Source organism: Homo sapiens, chromosome 3, assembly GCF_000001405.40.
Source record: "Homo sapiens chromosome 3, GRCh38.p14 Primary Assembly".
In the NCBI taxonomy this organism is placed as follows: Eukaryota; Metazoa; Chordata; class Mammalia; order Primates; family Hominidae; genus Homo; species Homo sapiens.
The window spans coordinates 185,528,628-185,549,496 of NC_000003.12; the positions used below are offsets into that span (position 1 = coordinate 185,528,628).

Genomic DNA, 20,869 nt, shown 5'->3' on the forward strand with positions numbered 1-20,869 from the left:
TTTAGCAAGCTCGGCAGGAGAGGGCGAAACTCACTGGTCAGGCCAGGTATCAGGCTAGGTATTGAAGAGGGAAACCAAGTGGGTGTCAATCCCTGCAGAATTAACCCGCTCTATAAATGCCTAAACCGGTTTCTCACCCTTGGTCAATGTTATTTGGGTGTTCCTCACTATCACTACGAAGCAGCTGGAAAAACAGGAGAGAAGCTCCTATGATGTTGTAACCACAAAATAAAGATTAAACAACAACAAGAAAAAGCTGGGTGTGGTGGCTGACCACTGTAATCCCAGCACTTTGGGAGGCCGAGGTGGGCGGATCACGAGGACAGGAGATTGAGACCATCCTGGCTAACATGGTGAAACCCCGTATCTATTAAAAATACCAAAAAAAAAAAAAAAAAAATTAGCTGGGTGTGGTGGCACGTGCCTGTAGTCCCAGCTACTCGGGAGGCTAAGGCAGGAGAATTGTTTGAACTGGGGAGGCAGAGGTTGCAGTGAGCCAAGATCGTGCCACTGCACTCCAGCCTGGGTGACAGAGCGAGACTCCGTCTCAAAAAAAAAAAAAAAAGAAAAAAAGAAAAAGAAAAAGAAAGAAAAAAGGAAAAAAAAAATCAGCAGCTCCAAAAGGTCTGGTTTACCAGATCCCTACCTGGAGTGAAGAAGGCTTCAAGGGAAGTCTCCCTTGAAGTTTTTGTCTATGAATGTCATTTTATATCTCCTATCCCCTGGTGTTACATATAAAATGCAAGAGTGTCTTTGCCTTTATTTCCTAAGTTCTAGCCTTTTTCTTTTTCTTTTTTTTTTTTTAATTTGTGGGGGTAGGGGAGGAGAGCCGGTTGTAGGGGCACTTGCTATGTTGCCCAGGCTGGTCTCAAACTCCTGGACTCAAGCAGTCCTCCCGCCTCAGTTTCCCAAAAGGCCGGGATTACAGGTGTGAGCCACCACACCTAGCCTACCTGGTTCTAGCTTTAATCCCTCCATTTCAGCTGGTCGCAGTGGCTTACATCTATAATCCTAGAGTTTGGGAGGCCAGGGCGGGAGGATTGCTTGAGACCAGGAGTTCGAGACCAGCCTGGGCAACATACGGAGACCCTGTCTCTACAAAAAAATTAAAAATTTGTTGAGTGTGGTGGCTCATGCTTGTAATCTTAGCTACTCCGGAGACTGAGACAGAAGGATCACTTGAGCCCAGAAGTTCCAGGTTGCAGTGAGCCATGATTGTGCCATTGCCCTCCAGCCCAGGCGACAGACCAAGCAAGAGAGAGAGAGAAAGAGAGAAAGAAAAGAAAGAAAGAAAGAAAGAAAGAAAGAAAGAAAGAAAGAAAGAAAGAAAGAAAGAAGGAAAGAAAGAAAGAGAGAGAGAGAGAAAATAAGCAGTGCCTGGCGCGGTGGCATGCGCCTGTAGTCCCTGTAGTCCTAGCTACTTGAGGTGGTGGGGAGATGGAGAGAAAGCTGAGCTGAGAGGATGGCTTGAGGCCGGGAGTTTGAGGCTGCAGTGTGCTGTGATTGCACCACTGCACTCCAGCCTGGGTGGCAAAGTAAGACCCTGTCTCAAAAATAAATAAGTAAATAGGCTGGGCACAGTGGCTCATGCCTGTAATCCCAGAACTTTGGGAGGCTGAGGTGGTTGGATCACCTGAGGTCAGGAGTTTGAGACCAGCCTGGCCAACATGATGAAACTCCATCTCTACTAAAAATACAAAATTAGCCAGGCGTGGTGGCAGGCACCTGTAGTCCCAGCTACTCGGGAGGCTGAGGCATGAGAATCTCTTGAACCTAGGAGGCGGAGGTTGCAATAAGCCGAGATCGTGCCACTGTACTCCAGCCTGGGCGACAGAGTGAGACTCGGTCTCAAATAATAATAATAATAATAAATTAATTTAAAAAATACAAAAATTAGCTGGGTGCGGTAGCAGGAGCCTGTAATCCCAGCTACTTGGGAGGCTGAGGCACGATAATTGCTTGAATCCGGGAGGCAGAGATTGCAGTGAGCCAAGATCGTGACACTGTAATACAGCCTGGGTGACAGAGTGAGACTGTGTCTCAAAAAAACAAAAATAAATAAATAAAATTAACAGAGCTTCAGTTTCAGAGCTCTAGATTCATGATGAATAAAACATCTGAACCAGGGCAATTTTCAGAGTGATAAGGATGCTATTAATAAGCCTGGGAGTTTGAGGCTGCAGTGAGTTGTGATTGCACCACTGCATTCCAGCCTGGGTAACAAAGTAAGACCCTGTCTCAAAAATAAATAAATAAATAAAATTAATGGTGAGAGCCTCAGTTTATAGCAACCTCCAGATTCATGATGAATAAAACATCTGAAGCAGGACAGTTTTCAGAGTGATAACGGTGCTCTTAATAATTACACCAAGACAAAGGTATAAACTGAGACTGTCACAGGCAGGCTTGGACTTGGGATTTCCTTAGTGATAAGCCATAGCAAATGATTAGCTTCCAGTGTCAGAAAAAAATTATAGTAAAAGCTGCATACTACGTGTGAGCGGATAGATACGGAGCCCCAAACCTAGCGCTAACCAGCTGTGTGCCCTTAGGCAGGTTACTTAACTTCTCTGAATCTCAGTTCCTTTAATTTATAAAATGGAGGTAGAATTAATAGCTACTTCAGAAGACTCATAAGTTCAGGTGCGGTGGCTCATGTCTGTAATCCCAGCACTTTGGGAGGCTGAAGCAGGCAGATCGCTTGAACACAGGAGTTCAAGACCAGCCTGGGCAACATGGCGAAACTCCATCTCTAGAAAAATTCAAAAATTAGCCAGGCATGGTGGTGCACGCCGGTAGTCCCAGCTGCTTGAGAGGCTGAGATGGGAGCCTCAGAGGTGATCACCTGAGCCCAGGGAGCATCAGGCTGCAGTGAGCCATGATCATGCCACTACACTCCAGCCTGGGCGACAGAGTAAGACTCTGTCTCAAAAAAAAAAAAAAAAAGAAGAAGACTTATAAAAGGACTCCTAAGGCCAGCTGGTGGCTCACACCTGTAATCCCAGCACTATGGGGGACCACCGCAGGAGGATTGCTTGAGCCCAGGAGTCCAAGGCCAACCTGGGCAACAACATGAGATCCCATCACTAAATTAAAAAAATTAAAATAAATAGATGGCTCCTGAATCTAAATCCAGAACATTCTGAGATTATTGTGGAATACAAACAGAATGTAAAAAGTGAGATTTCCTTTTTTGTTGTTTTGTTTTGGTTTTTGTTTACTGTTTTTTTGAGACAGGATCTCACTCTGTCACCCAGGCTTGAGTGCAGTGGCACGATCATAGCTCACTGCATCCTCAAGCTCCTAGACTCAAGCGATTCTTCTGCGTTGGCCTCCCAAAGTGCTGGGATTACAGGCATGAGCTACTGCACCCAGCCAAAGAGCTTTTTCTTATTGCTCTAAGATCACCAGAAAAATGTTCAGATAAGAATCCTTGGCTTTTACTGCAGCCTTAACTGGTTTGAGAATTTGATGAAAATTCTGGACCCCTCCCCAGGACAGACACCCAACATTTTGCATGCAACTTCACGGCCTCTTACTTCCATACCCGAGATCAACATAAACTCTTGAAGGAAGTGCTGTCCAACAGAAATACAACATGAGGCCGGGCACAGTGGCTCATACCTGTAATCCCAGCACTTTGGGAGGCTGAAGTGAGAGGATTGCTTGAGCCCAGGAGTTCAAGACCAGCCTGGGCAACATGGTAAGACTCCATCTCTACAAAAAAATTAAAAATTAAGCAGGTGTGGTGGCACACACCTGTAGTCCCAGCTACTTGAGAGGCTGAGTGGAGGACTGCTTGTGCCTGGGGGGGCGTTGAGGCTGCAGTGAGCTGCATGCCAGCCTGGGCAACACAGCGAGACCCTGTCAAAAAAAAAAAGGCTATGTGCAGTGGCTCATGCCTGTAATCCCAGCACTTTGGGAGGCCGAGATGGGTGGATCACCTGAGGTCAGGAGTTCGAGACCAGCCTGGCCAACATGGCGAAACAATGTCTCTACTAAAAATACAAAAATTAGCCAAGAGTGGTGGCGCATGCCTGTAATCCCAGCTCCTGAGGAGGCTGAGGCAGGAGAATCGCTTGAACCCGGGAGGTGGAGGTTGCAGTGACCCGAGATTGCACCACTGCACTCCAGCCTGGGTGACAGAGTGAGACTCTTTCTCAAAAATAAATAAATAATAAAATAAAATAAAATTTAAATTAAAAATAAAATTAAAAACTTGTGGCCCTAAAAGTTTACCTCCTAAATGTAGTTTTAATCATTTACCTCTCCCCTTTTTCCATCCACTTCTACCTTTTCAGTTTCCATAGATTTAAAATAGCCATCTAGGTATGAGGATGGATTCTGGGAAAGGAGAAATGGGAGAGGCTTTGAGACTCTGAAAGAGAGAGCCGCTGTGGAAAGCTACTAAGCCCTAGGCAGGAGATTCCAGCAAAGGAGTCTTTGTTTGGGATCTGACCTACTGCATTTCTGAAGGTTTTCATTCAGTGTTGGCCCGAAAGCTGATATTTAGAGAATAAGCCCCAGCCATCAAAATTCCCATCTCGTTTTCTTATGAGACTCCAGCTGTGCCTGGGGACTGAAGCGTATTAGGTTTATAGTTCAGGGTCTCCTGGATTAAATAAAAGGAAGAGGACTAACTGTTTGCGGCACACAGATTTGAATGGGACATAGCTGTTTTTCCAGCCATAATAGAAATAAAGTCACTACTCATCTTTTCTATAGTATACACAATTTACAAAATGCTTTACTTATGTTTTATTACATAATAGCCTGAGGTCAATATTATTTTGATCTTCCTTTTGCATGCAATGACCCACACTCAGAGAGGTTAGGTAATTGGAGCTGGCTTTGAACCCAAGGAGTTGGATTGGCCTACATAATACTCCCCCAGTGAACACCCTGCCCAGGCTACCAACCCATGCCCATTCACAGGCACTTACCTGTAATTCTCCCCAGCCATCCATCGTACATCTCTCCAACAAACCCAGATATGTGGGCTCCTAGACTTACTCCGATCATGTAAATGTCATCAAGAGAAGCTCCTTCTGCCTGGAATTTCAAGAGGTCCATCATTGTAAATTGTAAGGGGCCAAGGAATTAACATTTGTAGAAATTTCCTGGCTGTTGACTTTGGAGAAGTAATTCTAAGCACCTTACATCTATTATCTCATTTAAAAGTCACAACATCCATGCAAAGTAAATACTATTCTTTTGATTATGCAGATGAGGAAACTGAGGCCCTAAGCTGAAGTCATCTGCCCCAGATCAGGCAGCTGGGGAGAGAGCAGAGCAGGATTCAAAATAGTCTGTCTGCTGGGCCCAGTGGCCCACGCTTGTAATCCCAGCCCCGTGGGAGGCCGAGGCGGGCAGATCACCTGAGGTCGGGAGTTCGAGGCCAGCCTGACCAACATGGAGAAACCCCGTCTTTACTAAAAATACAAAATTAGCCGGGCGCAGTGGCTCACGCCTGTAATCCCAGCACTTTGGAAGGCCAAGGCAGGTGGATCACGAGGTCAGGAGATCAAGACCATCCTGGCCAACATGGTGAAACCCCGTCTCTACTAAAAATACAAAAATTAGCTGGGCATGGTGGCGTGTACCTGTAGTCCCAGCTACTCGGGGGGCTGAGGCAAGAGAATCGCTTGAACCCGGTAGGCAAAGGTTGCGGTGAGCTGAAATCACACCACTGCACTCCAGCCTGGTGACAGAACGAGATTCCGTCTCAAAAAAAAAAAAAGAAGTTGAGGAAGCTCTAGGCATTTAAACCAAGAAATCCTAGACAGAACCTCTCCTACCTGTAAGACACCTTTATTGTGAGCTAGAAAAAAATGCCCCTTCCTCAAGACACTTTGTCATCATCTGGTGGAAATTTATCATAATAAATATATAAATCTATAATGTCACAATGACAAGGGTGCTCCCTCAGATGGGTGCCCTGTGCAGTGCACAGCCTAACAAACATACCTATGGACATTTTGCACAGCCCCTCATCCCACCTTCCCTGGGGCTTATTCACATTTGCAAAATGTTGCAATATAGGCCTCCTGCTCACTGTAGCTATCTCTTGGCTTTAAGCCCTCAGATAATGGGCCAGTTTCAACTTAGCTCTGAATCATCTAAGAGAATTCTCTTACCAACATCTGGTCAATAAATTCCTTCAAGACCATGGCTACTTTTCTGGTCTTACTAGAGGCATGGGTATATATTAAAGTTGTAGCTCCTCGATTCCAATCAACAACAACTACGTTCATGTCTTCAACAGAGAGCAAACCCTTTACTAAGTCATCCATCCAAACAGGAGGGGAGCCTGTTGGCCTGAATCCATGGACAATGAAGGTGGTTTTCTTGGTCACATTCAAGTTCCCAAAAGCTGAGGAGTTGATGGTTTGTGCGCAGGTCAGGTTTTTCCTTGTGTAGAGCATCAGCCTCACATTTAGTCCCGTACCAACCACTGCACTGTGAAAGCTCAGCCTGGTGAATGAAGGACATGTTTCTTCTGCGTCTGAAAATAAAAATTAGATGGCATCACGACAGGTCTTTCCTTAGCTGGGCATCAAGCAAGAGTGCTGTTCTATATTTGTAGGAGTTCTTCTTATGTTCCTGATAGGACCTGGCTAAGGGCTGGATCCAGTTGAATGAAGTTGCAAAATCATATATACATACTTTGAGACAGGGTTTCACTCTCACCCAAGCTGGAGTGCAGTGGCGCAATATCAGCTCACTATAACTTCCACCTCCCAGGCTCAAGCAATTCTCCCTCCTCAGCCTCCTTGAGTAGCTGGGACTACAGGTGCATGCCATCATGCCCGCTAATTTGTGTATTTTTTGATAGAGATGGGTTTTCACCATGTTGGCCAGGCTGATCTCAAACTCTTTTGACCTCAAGTGATCCACTCACCTTGGCCTCCCAAAGTGGTAGGATTACAGGCCTGAGCCCACCACACCTGGCTGCCAAATCATATTTGTTTTTTTGTTTTTGTTTTTGTTTTGGAGACAGAGTCTCACTCTGTCGCCCAGGCCGGAGTGCAGTGGTGCAATCTCAGCTCACTGCAACCTCCGCCTCCCGGGTTCAAGTGATTCTCATGCCTCAGCCTCCCAAGTAACTGGGATTACAGGCATCCACCACAACACCGGGCTAATTTTTGTATTTTTAGAAGAGATGGGGTTTCACCATGTTGGCCAGGCTGGTCTCGAACTCCTGACCTAGGGTGATCTGCCCACCTCGGCCTCCCAAGGTGCTGGGATTACAGGCATGAGCCACCGTGCCCGGCCAACAAAATCATATTTGATCCAGAGCTTGTAAGTAGTGACCTCTTGCTTCAGCAGAAAGCCATTCTTCCAAATCTTATCCTCCTTCAAGATTTAACTCAAAAGCCACCTTAATGAAGCCTTCTCTGACCCTCCCAGCTATAAGTACTATCCTTTACCCTGGAACTCCCAAAACTCCCTTTATGCACCTTGTTGACGACACAATGAAAACCCACTTTCAGGCACACATTATAGATATCTATGTACATATGTGTCTATCCTGCTAGAACACAATCTCTTTGAAATGGCAGCTCATTACTTGTATATCCCTCACAGTGCCCAGCACATGGTAGAGGACTCAATAACATGTGGAACAGCAAGTCATCCCCAGCTCCAAGTGGGAGATGATGAGTATCTTCTGTAAGATACTCAGAAGAGGCAAGGCACTACCGATGGCCATTCTTGGTGGACAAGAGCAGAAAGGGAAGGCTGTTAACATGCAGTGGGCCAACAGAAGACAAGAGTGCCCTGGGAAACATCTGTCTGACTTCCTCCAATAGGAATTCAGGAAGCATTTGCTCTGGGTCCCTGTTCTCAATGAATCTTCATTTGCACATCCAGGAAGTATTCTTCATTCTAAGCCTCAGAGTAGCCTTCATCTTGGGGTCCTTGCCCATCTTTAATAACCTGAGTCTGTTCAGTTATGCATTTATTGAAACTTTTCAAAAAGGCTCTGGTACTCAGGAGTGAGTGAAGTTTCATAATAGAATCAGCACAAAACCAACCCCCCCAAATAAATAAATATGTAAATAAATAAATAAATAAAAATTAAATGAACTTAAAGGAAATTTACACGTGGCTAGATGTTACTTGTTGGTTACACTTAAATTCATGGTTTTTATCGTTACTTAACAATTAGTGAAATTTGTTCCCAGAAAACACCGTCTGTAGGATTTCTGCTTTCATGAAGTTAAAGAGACTTATTTAGGACTAAAACCTTGCCATTTTATTTACTTATTTATTTGATATGGAGTCTTGCTCTGTTGCCCAGGCTGGAGTGCAGTGGTGCAATCTCGGCTCACTGCAAACTTCATCTCCGGGATTCAAGCGATTCTCCTGCCTCAGCCTCCCAAGTAGCTGGAATTACAGGCGCCCGCCACCATGCCCAGCTAATTTTTGTATTTTTAGTAGAGACAGGGTTTCATCATGTTGGCCAAGGTGGTCTTGAACTCCTGACCTCGGGTGATCCGCCTGCCTTGGCCTCCCAAAGTGTTGGGATTACAGGCGTGAGCCATCGTGCCCAGCCAAGCCTGCCATTTTAAATAATTTTTCTTGGTGTCTGAAATTTATCTGCATCCTCTGTTTAGTGCTCAAAACTGCGGTTAATCAGGTAGATAAATAATCAGTGAGACTCTAGCTCTTAAAAAAAAAAGTTAAGGAGGCTTTGAAATCCCTCATCCTAGAAAACAGGTGGTTAATGTTGAACCTCAAATGCGCGCGTTCCTCCTTTTACTCTGCTTCATCAAGTAGCCTGTGTAGCGAGGCGTGCTCGTGATTAAGTATTTTCTCCATCCCTTGGCCTCTTTCATTTCCTCTTCCTGTAAGTCGCATGCTCCTGGGAACATGCACTTGCCCAGTTGTTTGTAGAGCAAAACCCAGAGCAAAGAGTTGCCTGTGTAATTAGTCATCTTCTTATTGAACAGGAAGTGTCTTGGGGTAGGGCTGAGCCTCTCCTTCTTAGCTATCAGTAAGGCTGGGTTTTGTTCCTGGTTGTGCAACTGACTCCCCAGGTGGCCTGGGGAAATTATGTCATCTTTCACTTGCCGCCTATCTGCCCAAGAGAGGAATCCTGGGGAGACTAATTCTGAATGAGATCATACTTGAGAAGACAGAGATTACTTTCCCAAGAAGAGGATTGTTTAATTGTCTGGTTTTGTGTTTTGTTTTGAGACAAGGTCTTGCTCTGTCACCCAGGCTGGAGTGCAGTGGCACGATCTCAGCTCATGCAACCTCTTCCTCCTGGGCTCAAGCAGTCCTCCCACCTCAACCTCCCAAGTAGCTGGGGCTACAGGTGCACATCACCATGTCTGGCTAATTTTTATATTTTTTGTAGAGACAGGCTTTCGCTATGTTGTCCAGGCTAGTCTTGAACTCCTGGGCTCAAGTGATCCACTTGCCTCGGCCTCCCAGAGTGCTGGGATTACAGCATGAGCCTCCACGCCCAGCCCTACATAATTTCTTTTAAGTCTTAGTTATTTTTGTAATGGTACTGTCCCCCGGAGAAGTCCATCGTAAGTATTGAGTGAAATAGATTTCCTTGTTCCTCTAAATACTAAATATTATAAAAGCTTTACATATATTATCTCTCATCCTCAGAGAATATGTGCAATTCATTCCAAAAGAATCTACTCTATCCTAGATTCTATGTCAGGTGGCATTTTAGAGGAAGAATCAGTCAGTAATGAAATAATGCACACAAATAAGTATAAAACTGCTACCTGTGACATGTGTCATATAAAAGAGATAGAGTGTAAGATGAAAACTTAAATAGGGAGCTTGGTCTGGTCTGGGGATCAGGAATCTTCTTTCTCTTGCATCATCTGAAAATAATGAGTAGCTAAATGCCAACAATGGGGGATTCTTTTCAAAGAATAAAAACATAACATCAAAGTACGATAATAATACAGTTGGGCAAATTCAAGTTACCCAAACTATTAAGCTTTATTTTTGTAGATTTTTTCTTTTATTACCTATGCTTAATGTTTCAGGTGTTATGTCCTTTTTAATTTTAATATGCCCCTTTTACCTTTAATTCCACCAAATATATATTCCACCAAATAATATATGTACATATATATACATATATGTACATATATATACATATATATGTACATATATACACACATATATACATATATACACACATATATACATATATACACACATATACATATATACATATATACACATATATATACATATATACATATATACACATATATATACATATATACGTATATACACATATACACATATATACACATATACACATATATACATATATATACATATATATACACATATATATATTTTTTTTTATTTTATTTTTTTGAGACAGAGTCTTGCTCTGTTGCCAGGCTGGAGTGCAGTGGTGTGATCTCGGCTCACTGCAACCTTCACCTCCCAGGTTCAAGTGATTCCCCTGCCTGTCTCCCAAGTAGCTGGGACTACAGGCGCGTGCCATCATGCCCAGCTAATTTTTGTATTTTTAGTAGAGACGGGGTTTCACCATGTTGGCCAGGATGGTCTCAATCTCTTGACCTTGTGATCCTCCCACCTCAGCCTCCCAAAGTGCTGGGATTACAGGCGTGAGCCACTGTGCCCAGCCTCAAATGATATTTTTATCATAACTGGGCTCTCTTGTTGTCAGCATTTGCCTACTGTGTCTTTATCCTTTTCACCTTCTGAATCCCTTTATTTTACAGATCTTTTTTTTTTTTCCTTTTTTTTTGAGACAGTTTCAGTCTGTTGCCCAGGCTGGAGTGCAGTGGCGTGATCTTGGATGACTGCAACATCGGCCCCCCCGGGTTCAAGCGATTCTACTGCCTCAGCCTCTTGAGTAGCTGGGATTATAGGTGCCCGCCACCACGCTAAGCTAATTTTTGTATTTTTAGTAGAGACGGGGTTTCACCTTGTTGGCCAGGCTGGTCTCGAACTCCAGACTTCAGGCGATCCACCCGCCTCAGCCTCCCAAAGTGCTGGGATCACAGGTGTGAGCCACCACGCCCGGCCGCATTTTACGGATCTTATATATAGGATCAAATTGGGTATTATTTTATGACCCACTCTCAGATCCTTTAAAAAAGATAAATGAGTATATCTATTAACATTTATTGGCATAACATATACTTGGTGTGGTGCCCATAGAAGTGCCTAAGACCTGCCTTTCAGAGAAACTTCTGGAGGAAGCACAGCTGAGTTGGCCGATAGCCTCCAGCTGCCCCACAGCATTTACATGAAGCCATGGCTCCCCATGCTGCTCCCCACCAATCACTGAGCCAGACCAGGCAGGTCATTCCTGCCCATGTGGCACTCTCTAATTGGAAACTTTGGCTCAAGGACTCCCCATCAGTCTGGCTGAAATATTCTCAGAACTGTGCTGGGGTCTGAGGCTCTTCCTACCCAACTTTTCCTTTCTCCTCTGCTTTCTCAGGTGCCAAACTGCCTGCATGATGGTGTGAAGCCTCCCTCTGCCTATTCCCACTCCCTCCTCCTTTATCCTTCACACTTCCTGAAATAGATCTCTTGCACATCCCTCCCCATCTTCTCAGAGGTCCCACATGGACACGACTGAACTGAATTCGGCAATGCTATGTTTTCCAGGGTTAGTGCCTTCTAGGTTCACTATCTTTTGCTTTATGGATTGTCCTCATGTTTTTTGTTTTTGTTTTATCAGGGGTTCTTTTGTATGTATGTGTTCTTTCTCATATTGGGAAGTTTATAGCTTGCTTTAATTCTTCTGGTAAACACCTTGATAACTCTATATGAAATATTTAAGGCTGGGCCTGGTGGCTCACTCCTGTAATCCCAGCACTTTGGGAGGCCAAGGCGGGTGGATCACCTGAGGTCAGGAGTTCAAGACCAGCCTGACCAACATGGTGAAACCCTGTCTCTACTAAAAATACAAAAATTAGCCAGGCATGGTGGCGTGCGCCTGTAGTCCCAGCTACTCAGGAGGCTGAGACAGGAGAATTGTTTGAACCAGGGAGGCGGAGGTTGCAGTGAGCCGAGATCTCACCACTGCATTCTAACCTGGGCGACAGAGCAAGACTCCCTCTCAAAGAACCAAAAAAAAAAAAAAAAGAAATATTTAAAATCCTTTTTCATGGAATGTAGATGTGTGACCTCTATGCCAGAAGTAGACTACATGCAGAACTGTTCCATACTGAAATATATCTATCCACACTTAATTATTCACCAATGTGCAACCCCTGGCAAGGATTTCTGGGCATCTGGAAACTGGATTTCCGACTCGGAGTGCGCTGCCGACTTCTGCCATGTGTTCTGCTGCTGATCTTTGTCAGAACAGCTCTTTCCTGACTCTACTCTTGTCCTGGCGTTAGTGCCTTGAGACAATATCTAATGTTTCTTTGTTATATGTGACGAGGACATTAACACACTTAATACTTCTCCCCACTAACTGGACTTCTACCTCCTGATTTTTATTAGTTATAAAATTATTTTTGGCTCATCTGGTGATTCCTTATATAGTTTCAAAATAAATGTTTAAGCCTCTGTGTATTGATGTATCAGTCACAGAGTTTCTGTTCTATTTACTGTATCTGTTCTATCAACTCATTCTCTACCAAGAAAAATGAGAAAGTTAATAGACCTATATTGCCTCTCAAATGCTCCTTGATCCTTCCTTCAGAATATATACATACACCCCTGGAAGCATGCAGTCTCTTCCCATTGTCAAATACAGTCGATTCTCATTATTTCTGGATCTTTCTTTCTTTTTTTTTTTTTTTTTGATTGTTTGTTGAGACAGGGTCTCACTCTGTCACCCAGGCTGGAGTGCACTGGCACAATCACAGCTCACTGCAGCCTTGACTTCCTAGGCTCAAGCAATCCTCCTGCCTCAGCCCTGAAATTGTGTGAGACTACAGGTGAGTGCCACCACACCAGGCTATTTTTTTTGAATTTTGGTAGAGATGAGGTCTTGCTATGTTGCCCAGGCTGGTCTTGAACCCCTGAGCTCAAATGATCCTCCTGCCTCAGCCTCCCAAAGTGTGGGATTATAGGCGTGAGCCACCCCACCCAGCCATATTTGTGGATTTCTTCTTGGTTTTTGGTGTTTTATTTATTTATTTATTTATTATTATTTTTTTTTTTAGAGACAGAGTCTCACTCTGTCAACCAGGCTGGAGCGCAGGGTCATGATCTTGGCTCACTACAACCTCCGCCTCTCAGGTTCAAGCAATTCTCCTACCTCAGTCTCCCGAGTAGCTGGGATTACAGACGTGCGCCACCACACCTGGCTAATTTTTGTATTTTTAGTAGAGACAGGTTTTCGCCATGTTGGCCAGGCTGGTCTCGAACTCCCGACCTCAGGTGATCTGCCCGCCTCAGCCTCCCAAAGTGCTGGGATTACAAGCGTGAGCCACCGTGCCTGGCCATATTTGTGAATTTCTTATGTGCAAATTTATTCATCACCCCAAAATCAATACTTGAGGAACCTTTTCAGTCATTCATGAACATGTGTAGAGTGGCGAAAAATTTGTGTTGCCTGACATGCATGATCTCAGCTGAGGTCAGAGAGAGCAACACTCTGCCTTCTTATTTGTTTCAGCTCTCATACTCTAAACAGGTGTCCTTTTCATGAACACTTAGATGACAGTCACTTAGTGCCACGTTTTTTGCTTCCTGTGCTTTTTCTTTTTTCTTTTTTTTTTTGAGACGGAGTTTTGCTCGTCGCCCAGGCTGGAGTGCAGTGGCGAGATCTCGGCTCACTGCAACCTCCACCTCCCAGGTTCAAGCGATTCTCCTTGCTTCAGCCTCCCGAGTAGTTGGGATTACAGGCGGCTGCCACCACGTTCTGCTAATTTTTGTATTTTTAGTAAAGACAGGGTTTCACCATGTTGTCCACGCTGGTCTCGAACTCCTGACCTCAGGTGATCCACCCACCTCAGCCTCCCAAAGTGCTGGGATTACAGGCGTAAGCCACCACACCCAGCCACTTCCTGTGCTTTTTCTTGGTTATTTCACTGTTTAAAATGGTGTCCACTCATAGGTTTATTGCAGCACTATTCACAATAGCAAAGATATGGAATCAACCTAAGTGTCTCTCAACAGATGATTGGAAAAAGAAAATATGATGTATATATACAATGGAATACTATGTGCTCATAAAAACGGATGAAATCATCTCTTTTGCAGCAACATGAATAGAACTTGAGGCCATTATCTTAAGTGAAATAACACAGACACAGAAACACAAATACTGCATGTTCTCACTTATAAAGGAGAGCTAAATAATATATCTAGGGCTGGGCATGGTGTCTCACGCCTGTAATACCAGCACTTTGGGAGGCCAAGGCAGGCAGATCACTTTGAGGTCAGGAGTTCGAGACCAGCCTGGGCAACATGGCAAAACCCCGTCTCTACTAAAAATACAAAAATTAGCTAGGCATGGTTGTACAAGCCTGTAATCCCCGCTACTCGGGAGGCTGAGGCAGGAGAATTGCTTGAACCCGGGAGGCAGAGGTCGCAGTGAGCTGAGATCATGCCACTGCACTCCAGCCTGGGCAACAGAGCAAGACTCCATCTCAAAAATAAATAAATAAATAAATAAATAAAATGGTGCCCAAGCATAATGCTGAAGTGCTGTCTAATGTTTCTAAGCAGAAGAAGGCTATGATGTGCCTTAGAGAGAAAATACATGTGTTAGGTAAGCTTCATTCAAGCATGAGTTAGAGTGCTGTTGGCCATAAGTCCAATGTTAATGAATCAACAGTATATATTAAATCAGATGCCTTTAAACAGAAACACACAGAAAATTATGTATTGATCCACTGACAAAAATATTGTGACCAGAGGCTTGCAGAAAACTAACCTTGGACTTCCCCTAGGAGCAATGGTTCAGTATTTGCTAATGCAGTGTTTGAGGCCACTTAATGGGACATAACTAACACAAATACTGAGAACAGGCTGGATATAAAAATTATCTTCTGGACTTACGCCTGTAATCCCAGTGTTCTGGGAGGTCAAGGCAGGAGGATTGCTTAAGCCCAGGAGTTTGAGACAGCCTGGGCAACATAGCAAGACTCCATAACTATTTTTTTGTAATTATCTTCTGAAACCATACTTCTCCAGTTATGTAGTTTTAGTTCTATAAAGTACATGTCCATTGCTCACTGAGTCCTTTTCCTAAGCTTCTCCCTTTACCACTAGGTGACTGGCTCTTGCTTTTTTTTTTTTTTTTTTTGATGCACGGTTTCTCACTCTTGTCCCCCAGGCTGGAGTGCAATGGCATGGTCTCGGCTCACTGTAACCTCCACCTCCCGGGTTCAAGTGATTCTCCTGCCTCAGCCTCCCATGTAGCTGAGATTATAGGTGCATGCCACCACGCCCAGCTAATTTTTATATTTTTAGTAGAGACAGGGTTTCACTGTGTTGACCAGGCTGGTCTCGAACTCCTGACCTCAGGTAATCCACCTGCCTCCGCCTCCCAAAGTACTAGGATTACAAGCTTGAGCCAGCATGCCTGGCGCTCTTGCTGTCTTTCAAGGAGGGCTCATGGTTCATATAATGCCTAAATTCATTTGTATCTGGGAATAAATTCCTTAGCCTAAATAATGACCTGGCTTTGAACCATACTCTTTCCTTCAGGAAAAATCAATATTCTACTATTTTCTTGTACTGAATTCTACCCTGGAGAATGGAGAATTTTCCTCTGTTGTTTTTTTTTGTTTTGTTTTGTTTTGTTTTTTGAGATGGAGTTTCGCTCTTGTCACCCAGGCTGAAGTGCAATGGTGTGATCTCCGCTCACTGCAAACTCTGCCTCCCAAGTTCAAGTGATTCTCCTGCCTCAACCTCCCCAAGTAGCTAGGATTACAGGCGCCCACCACCACACCTGGCTAATTTTTGTATTTTTAGTAGATATGGCTTTTCGCCATGTTGGCCAGGCTGGTCTTGAACTCCTGACCTCAGGTGATCCTCCTGCCTCAGCTGCCCAAGGTGCTGGGATTACAGGCATGAGTTACTGAGCCTGGGCGAGAATTTTCTCCTTTTTATGTCACTTGCATTTTTTCTGCAACATACCTGAAGCATTATTTCCTTTTTCCAGAAAAACTCCCCACTGATGTAGAAGCTCCAGGATAATTCATCTGTTCCACCCGTTGTATTCTCAGTGCCAAGAACAGGGCCTGGTTCAGAGTTAGCATCAATAAATGTTGCTTGAACAAATGAATATCAACCTGCTAGCATGTTCTGCAGACATCAGATCCTCCAAAGTGTTGGGATTACAGGTGCAAGCCACCACACCCGGCCTCATTCTTTAAATATTCATTTCTGTTGGTATTTCTAAAGGCATCAGATACTTGTATGCCTTCAGAAAGCAAAATCCTTTTGAGTTATGTTATTGTTATGGTACAAAGTCAAGGTTGTTCAGAGGTAGAGCAACAGAGCACATATAACCAGTGACCACAGAACATGTTAAACTGGTTTTTAAAGCTTAACTTCTTCTATTTGAGTTTATCTGAAACAGGAGAAATTTTGCCTGTCCTTTTCAGACTACTCTGAAATTCAATTACTCTGAAATGCCATTTCCTGTTGACAGTTGGAAAATTACAGTTGGATGAGTGGTGTTTCCAATATCCTTTGATAAGGAATTCAGACTCCTATTTAGAGCAGGCATGATTATCATGTATTCCCTTCTATCTCTTAAAAGAAAAGAAACATATCCAAGTAGGATACCAGGGCAATCTCACTGTAACTTCTTTAGCATAATTGTGCCTGAGATGTTTTCTTGCAATTTAATGCATGGTCGCCTGCAGGTCAAACCTGGTCATGCCCATTTATATATTGTCCACGGCTACTTTCCTGCTCTAAAGGCAGAGCTGAATGGCTATGACTAATGGCCCATAAAGCTGAAAATATTTACTCTCTGGCTCTTTACAGAAAATGTTTGCCAACCCTAGTCTAATGTCCTAAATACAAATACAGGCCAAGTGCGGGTGGCTCACACCTGTAATCCCAGCACTTTGGGAGGGTCCCTTGACGTGAGGAGTGGGAGACCACCCTGGGCAACATAGTGAGATCCCATCTCCATAAAACAAAAAAACAAAAAAACACGTCTTTGGAAACAGCATGAGTTTTGGAGTCAGACCTAGGTTTGATGTCCAACTCCACTGCCTATTAGCTATGTGACCCCTGGTAATTAATTGCCTAACCTCTCTGGGCCTCAGCTTTGCATCTGTAAAATAATCATAATAGGCCAGGCACAGTGGCTTACGCCTGTAATCCCAGCACTTTGGGAGGCTGACGCAGGCAGATCACCTGAGGTCAGGAGTTTGAGACCAGCCTGGCCTACATGGTGAAACCCCATCTCTACTAAAAATACAAAAAAAAAAAAAAATTAGCTGGGTGTGGTGGCACATGCCTGTAATCCCAGCTACTTGGGAGGCTGAGGCAGGAGGATTTCTTGAACCCAGGAGGCAGAGTTTGCAGTGAGTCGAGACCCAGCCACTGCACTCCAGGCTGGGTGACAGAGTGAGACTCTGTCTCAAAAATAAATAAATAAAAATAAATAAAAATACAAAAATTAGCCGGGTGTGGTAGCGCACACCTGTAATCCCAGCTACTCGGGAGGCTGAGGCAGGAGAATCGCTCGAACCCAGCAGGTGGCAGTTGTGGTGGGCCAGGATTGTGCCACTGCACTCTTAGCCTGGACGACAGAGTAAGACTCCGTCTCAAAAAAAAAAAAAAAAAAAATTCTAAAGCTGGGCATGGTGGTGCAGGCCTATATAGTCCCAGCTACTTGGGAGGCTGAGGCAGGAAAACCACTTGAGTCCAGGGTTCAAAGCCTGCCTGGGCAATATGGCAACACCCATCTCTTTAAAAAAAAAAAAAATTTCCCACTGGGTGCTGTGGCTCACGCCTGTAATCCCAACACTTTTGGAGGCCAAGGTAGGAGGATCACTTGAGCCCAAGAGTTCGAGACCCGCCTGGAACAATAAGGTGAGACCCTGTCTCTAGAAAAAATCAAAAAGTTAGCTGGGCGTGGTTGCACATGCTGGTGGTCCCAGCTACACTGAGCCTGTGGCAGAAGGTGGCTTGCACCCAGGAAATCAAGGCTGCAGTGAGCTGTGAGCTGCGATCACACTACTGCACTCCAGCCTGGGCAACAGAGTAAGAACTTGTCTAAAAACAAACAAAAAACAAAACAAAAAAAGCCTGTGCTGTCTCAGCTACACACTCAGCTCTGGCTTCTTCTACCTCATTTTGGAGGAATTAATTTTATTTCCCATATTTCTGACTGGAGAAAACCCTCTTCAAAGAGAGGAGACTCCTCATTCATATCCAAAGAGGCATCTGTGAAAAAAGAAGACAGAATTATGGACAGAGGCGAGGAAATTCTGAGATTCTACGATAGTCAATAAGCAAAGGTGGGAATTGTTTGAACCCGGGAGGCGGAGGTTGCAGTGAGCCGAGATCACACCACTGCACTCCAGCCTGGGTGACAGAAAGACTCCGTCTCAAAAAAAAAAAAAAGAAGGTATCTCAGACCCATCTCAGACCTTGATGAAGGTGCCTTGGACCCTTTGGTCCACTGACCTCCAAACCTACATTACAGAAGTGAAATTCTGTAGGACATGTAGAAGTGAAATTCATGTAGGACATGACAGAATTTCATGTCAATTTCACGTCCTACATGAAATTAACCTTGACGTGTAGTGCCCAGTCAGGAAGTAAAACAGCCCTGACTCATACTGCTTTTTTATCTCGAGTTTTGGTTTCTAAGGTGTGCTTGAGCTTTCTTCCCCTCCACCCCATCCCCAAACGTGACATAGATGTATATTAATAACTTCTTTAGAACAGAGGTCCACAGTCAGGTTTACTGACTTGATGCTGCCTGAAAGTATTTACTGAAGGCAGGGCACGGTGGCTCACGCCTGTAATCCCAGAACTTTGGGAGGCTGAGGAGGGTGGATTGCCTGAGTTCAGGAGTTTGAGACCAGCCTGGCCAGCCTGGCCAACATGGCGAAACCCCGTCTCTACTAAAAATACAAAAAATTAGCCGGGCATGGTGGCAGGCACCTGTAATCCCCAGTTACTTGGGAGGCTGAGGCAGGAGAATTGCTTGAATCTGGGAGGCAGAGGTTGCAATGAGCCGAGATCGCGCCACTGCACTCCAGCCTGGGCAACAAGAGCAAAACTCCATCTCCAAAAAAAAAAAAAAGAAGAAGAAAGAAAGAAAGTATTTACTGAGACCCAGATAAAGATTAACAGATACATTTTCAAGTATTCTGCATGCTTGGCAATGGATGTTACTGTCTGGGATACAAGCTCATTACACGTTGATGCCGTTGATGCCAAAATGTTCACAGTAACCTATGCTTGAGCACACTCTTATGCTTGCCTGAAGACACTGTTCTGAAGGAATTTCCAAAAGTCCAAGAAATAAAAATCTGAAGTTTTTTTAGGCCAGAAACTTTGCCTTCCTCGTATTAGAAAATGAGTTGGGGCCGGGCGCAGTGGCTCAAGCCTGTAATCCCAGCATGTTGGGAGGCCGAGGCGGGCGAATCACCAGGTCAAGAGATCGAGACCATCCTGGCCAACCTGGTGAAACCCTGTCTCTACTAAAAATACAAAAATTAGCTGGGCGTGGTGGTGGGCACCGGTAGTCCCAGCTACTTGGGAGGCTGAGGCAGGAGAATTGCTAGAACCAGGGAGGCGGAGGTTGCAATGAGCCAAGATCGCGCCACTGCACTCCAGCCTGGTGACAGAGCGAGACTCTGTCTCACATAAAAGGAAAAAAAAAACAACAAAAAAAAACTCATCCTAGGTCAAGCACGGTGGCTCACACCTGTAATCCTAGCACTTTGGGAGGCCGAGGTAGGTGGATCACCTGAGGTCAGGAGTTCGAGACCAGCCTGGCCAATATGGTGAAACCCCATCTCCACTAAAAATACAAAATTAGCTGGGTGTGGTGGCACATGCCTTTAGTCCCAGCTACTTGGGAGGCTGAGGCAGGAGAATCACTTGAACCTGGGAGGCAGAGGCTACAGTGAGCCAAGATCGTGCCACTGCACTCTAGCCTGGGCGAGACAGAGCAAGACTCCATCTCAGAAACAAAACAAAACAAAAACAAAACAAAACAAAACAAAACAAAACAAAACAAACCGCATCCTGAGCCAGGCTGTGAAAGGATTACAGTTGGACAGGGTCAAACCTGGTGAAGCATTTGTTTTGCCAGGCATGGTGGCTCACACCCGTAATCACAGCACTTTGGGAGGCCGAGGCAGGGGGATCACGAGGTCAAGAGTTCAAGACCAGCCTGGCCAAGATGGCGAAACTCCGTCTCTCCTAAAAATACAAAAATTAGCTGGGCGTGGTGGTGGGTGCCTGTAATCCCAGCTACTTGGGAGGCTGAGGCAGAGAATTGCTTGAACCCGGGAGGCAGAGGTTGCAGTGAGCCGAGATCGCACCACTGCAGTCCAGCCTGGCAACAGAGCGAGACTCCATCTCAAAAAAAAAAAAAAAGAAAATATTTGTTTCTTTTTTACCCTGGGCGGAGACAGGCAAGAAGCATATGGGCAGGATGCCCTCTTGATTGGAAGGACATGCCTGCTTTTAACCACTGGCTGTGTTTCTTTAGGATGCAACCGAGAAAATAAATGAGATGCCAGATTTTCTCATTCTCATTTCTGAATCATGTGCATAAATATGCACATTCACACCCCCTCATTCACCTTTGCCAACTTGTTAGAGAAAGATGAGTCACCACACAGGCACAGTTCCAAATCATTCTAGAGGATTGCAAATATCTGAGGAAATAATTCTGGTTTTGGCATTAAACAATTTTTTCTGGGAAAATATCTATCTAGTTTTACAG

At 44.6% G+C, this 20,869-nt stretch overlaps 1 protein-coding gene across 4 annotated transcripts in view, besides 1 other annotated feature; it reads right to left on the bottom strand.

Annotated features, from left to right (window-relative positions):
• The window catches only part of LIPH (lipase H), a 46,327-nt gene that overhangs the window by 22,366 nt on the left and 3,092 nt on the right, over nucleotides 1–20,869 (bottom strand). For 3 of the 4 annotated variants that reach the window (NM_001438029.1, NM_001438651.1, NM_139248.3), the window contains exons 2-3: nucleotides 6,138–6,505; nucleotides 4,944–5,052 (exon numbers count right to left, since the gene is read on the bottom strand). In NM_001438029.1, coding sequence (NP_001424958.1) covers nucleotides 4,944–5,052; nucleotides 6,138–6,505 — 477 coding nt within the window. Of the gene's footprint in view, nucleotides 1–4,943; nucleotides 5,053–6,137; nucleotides 6,506–16,074; nucleotides 16,179–20,869 lie in introns of all 4 variants that reach the window. The other variant, NM_001438652.1, reaches the window with a different exon arrangement.
• Nucleotides 8,685–8,774: an enhancer, noted in NCBI's record as "active region_20925". NCBI's record gives its function as "activates an Ori minimal core promoter by ATAC-STARR-seq in GM12878 lymphoblastoid cells {active_cell/tissue: GM12878}" and the evidence as "EXISTENCE:reporter gene assay evidence [ECO:0000049][PMID:35858748]".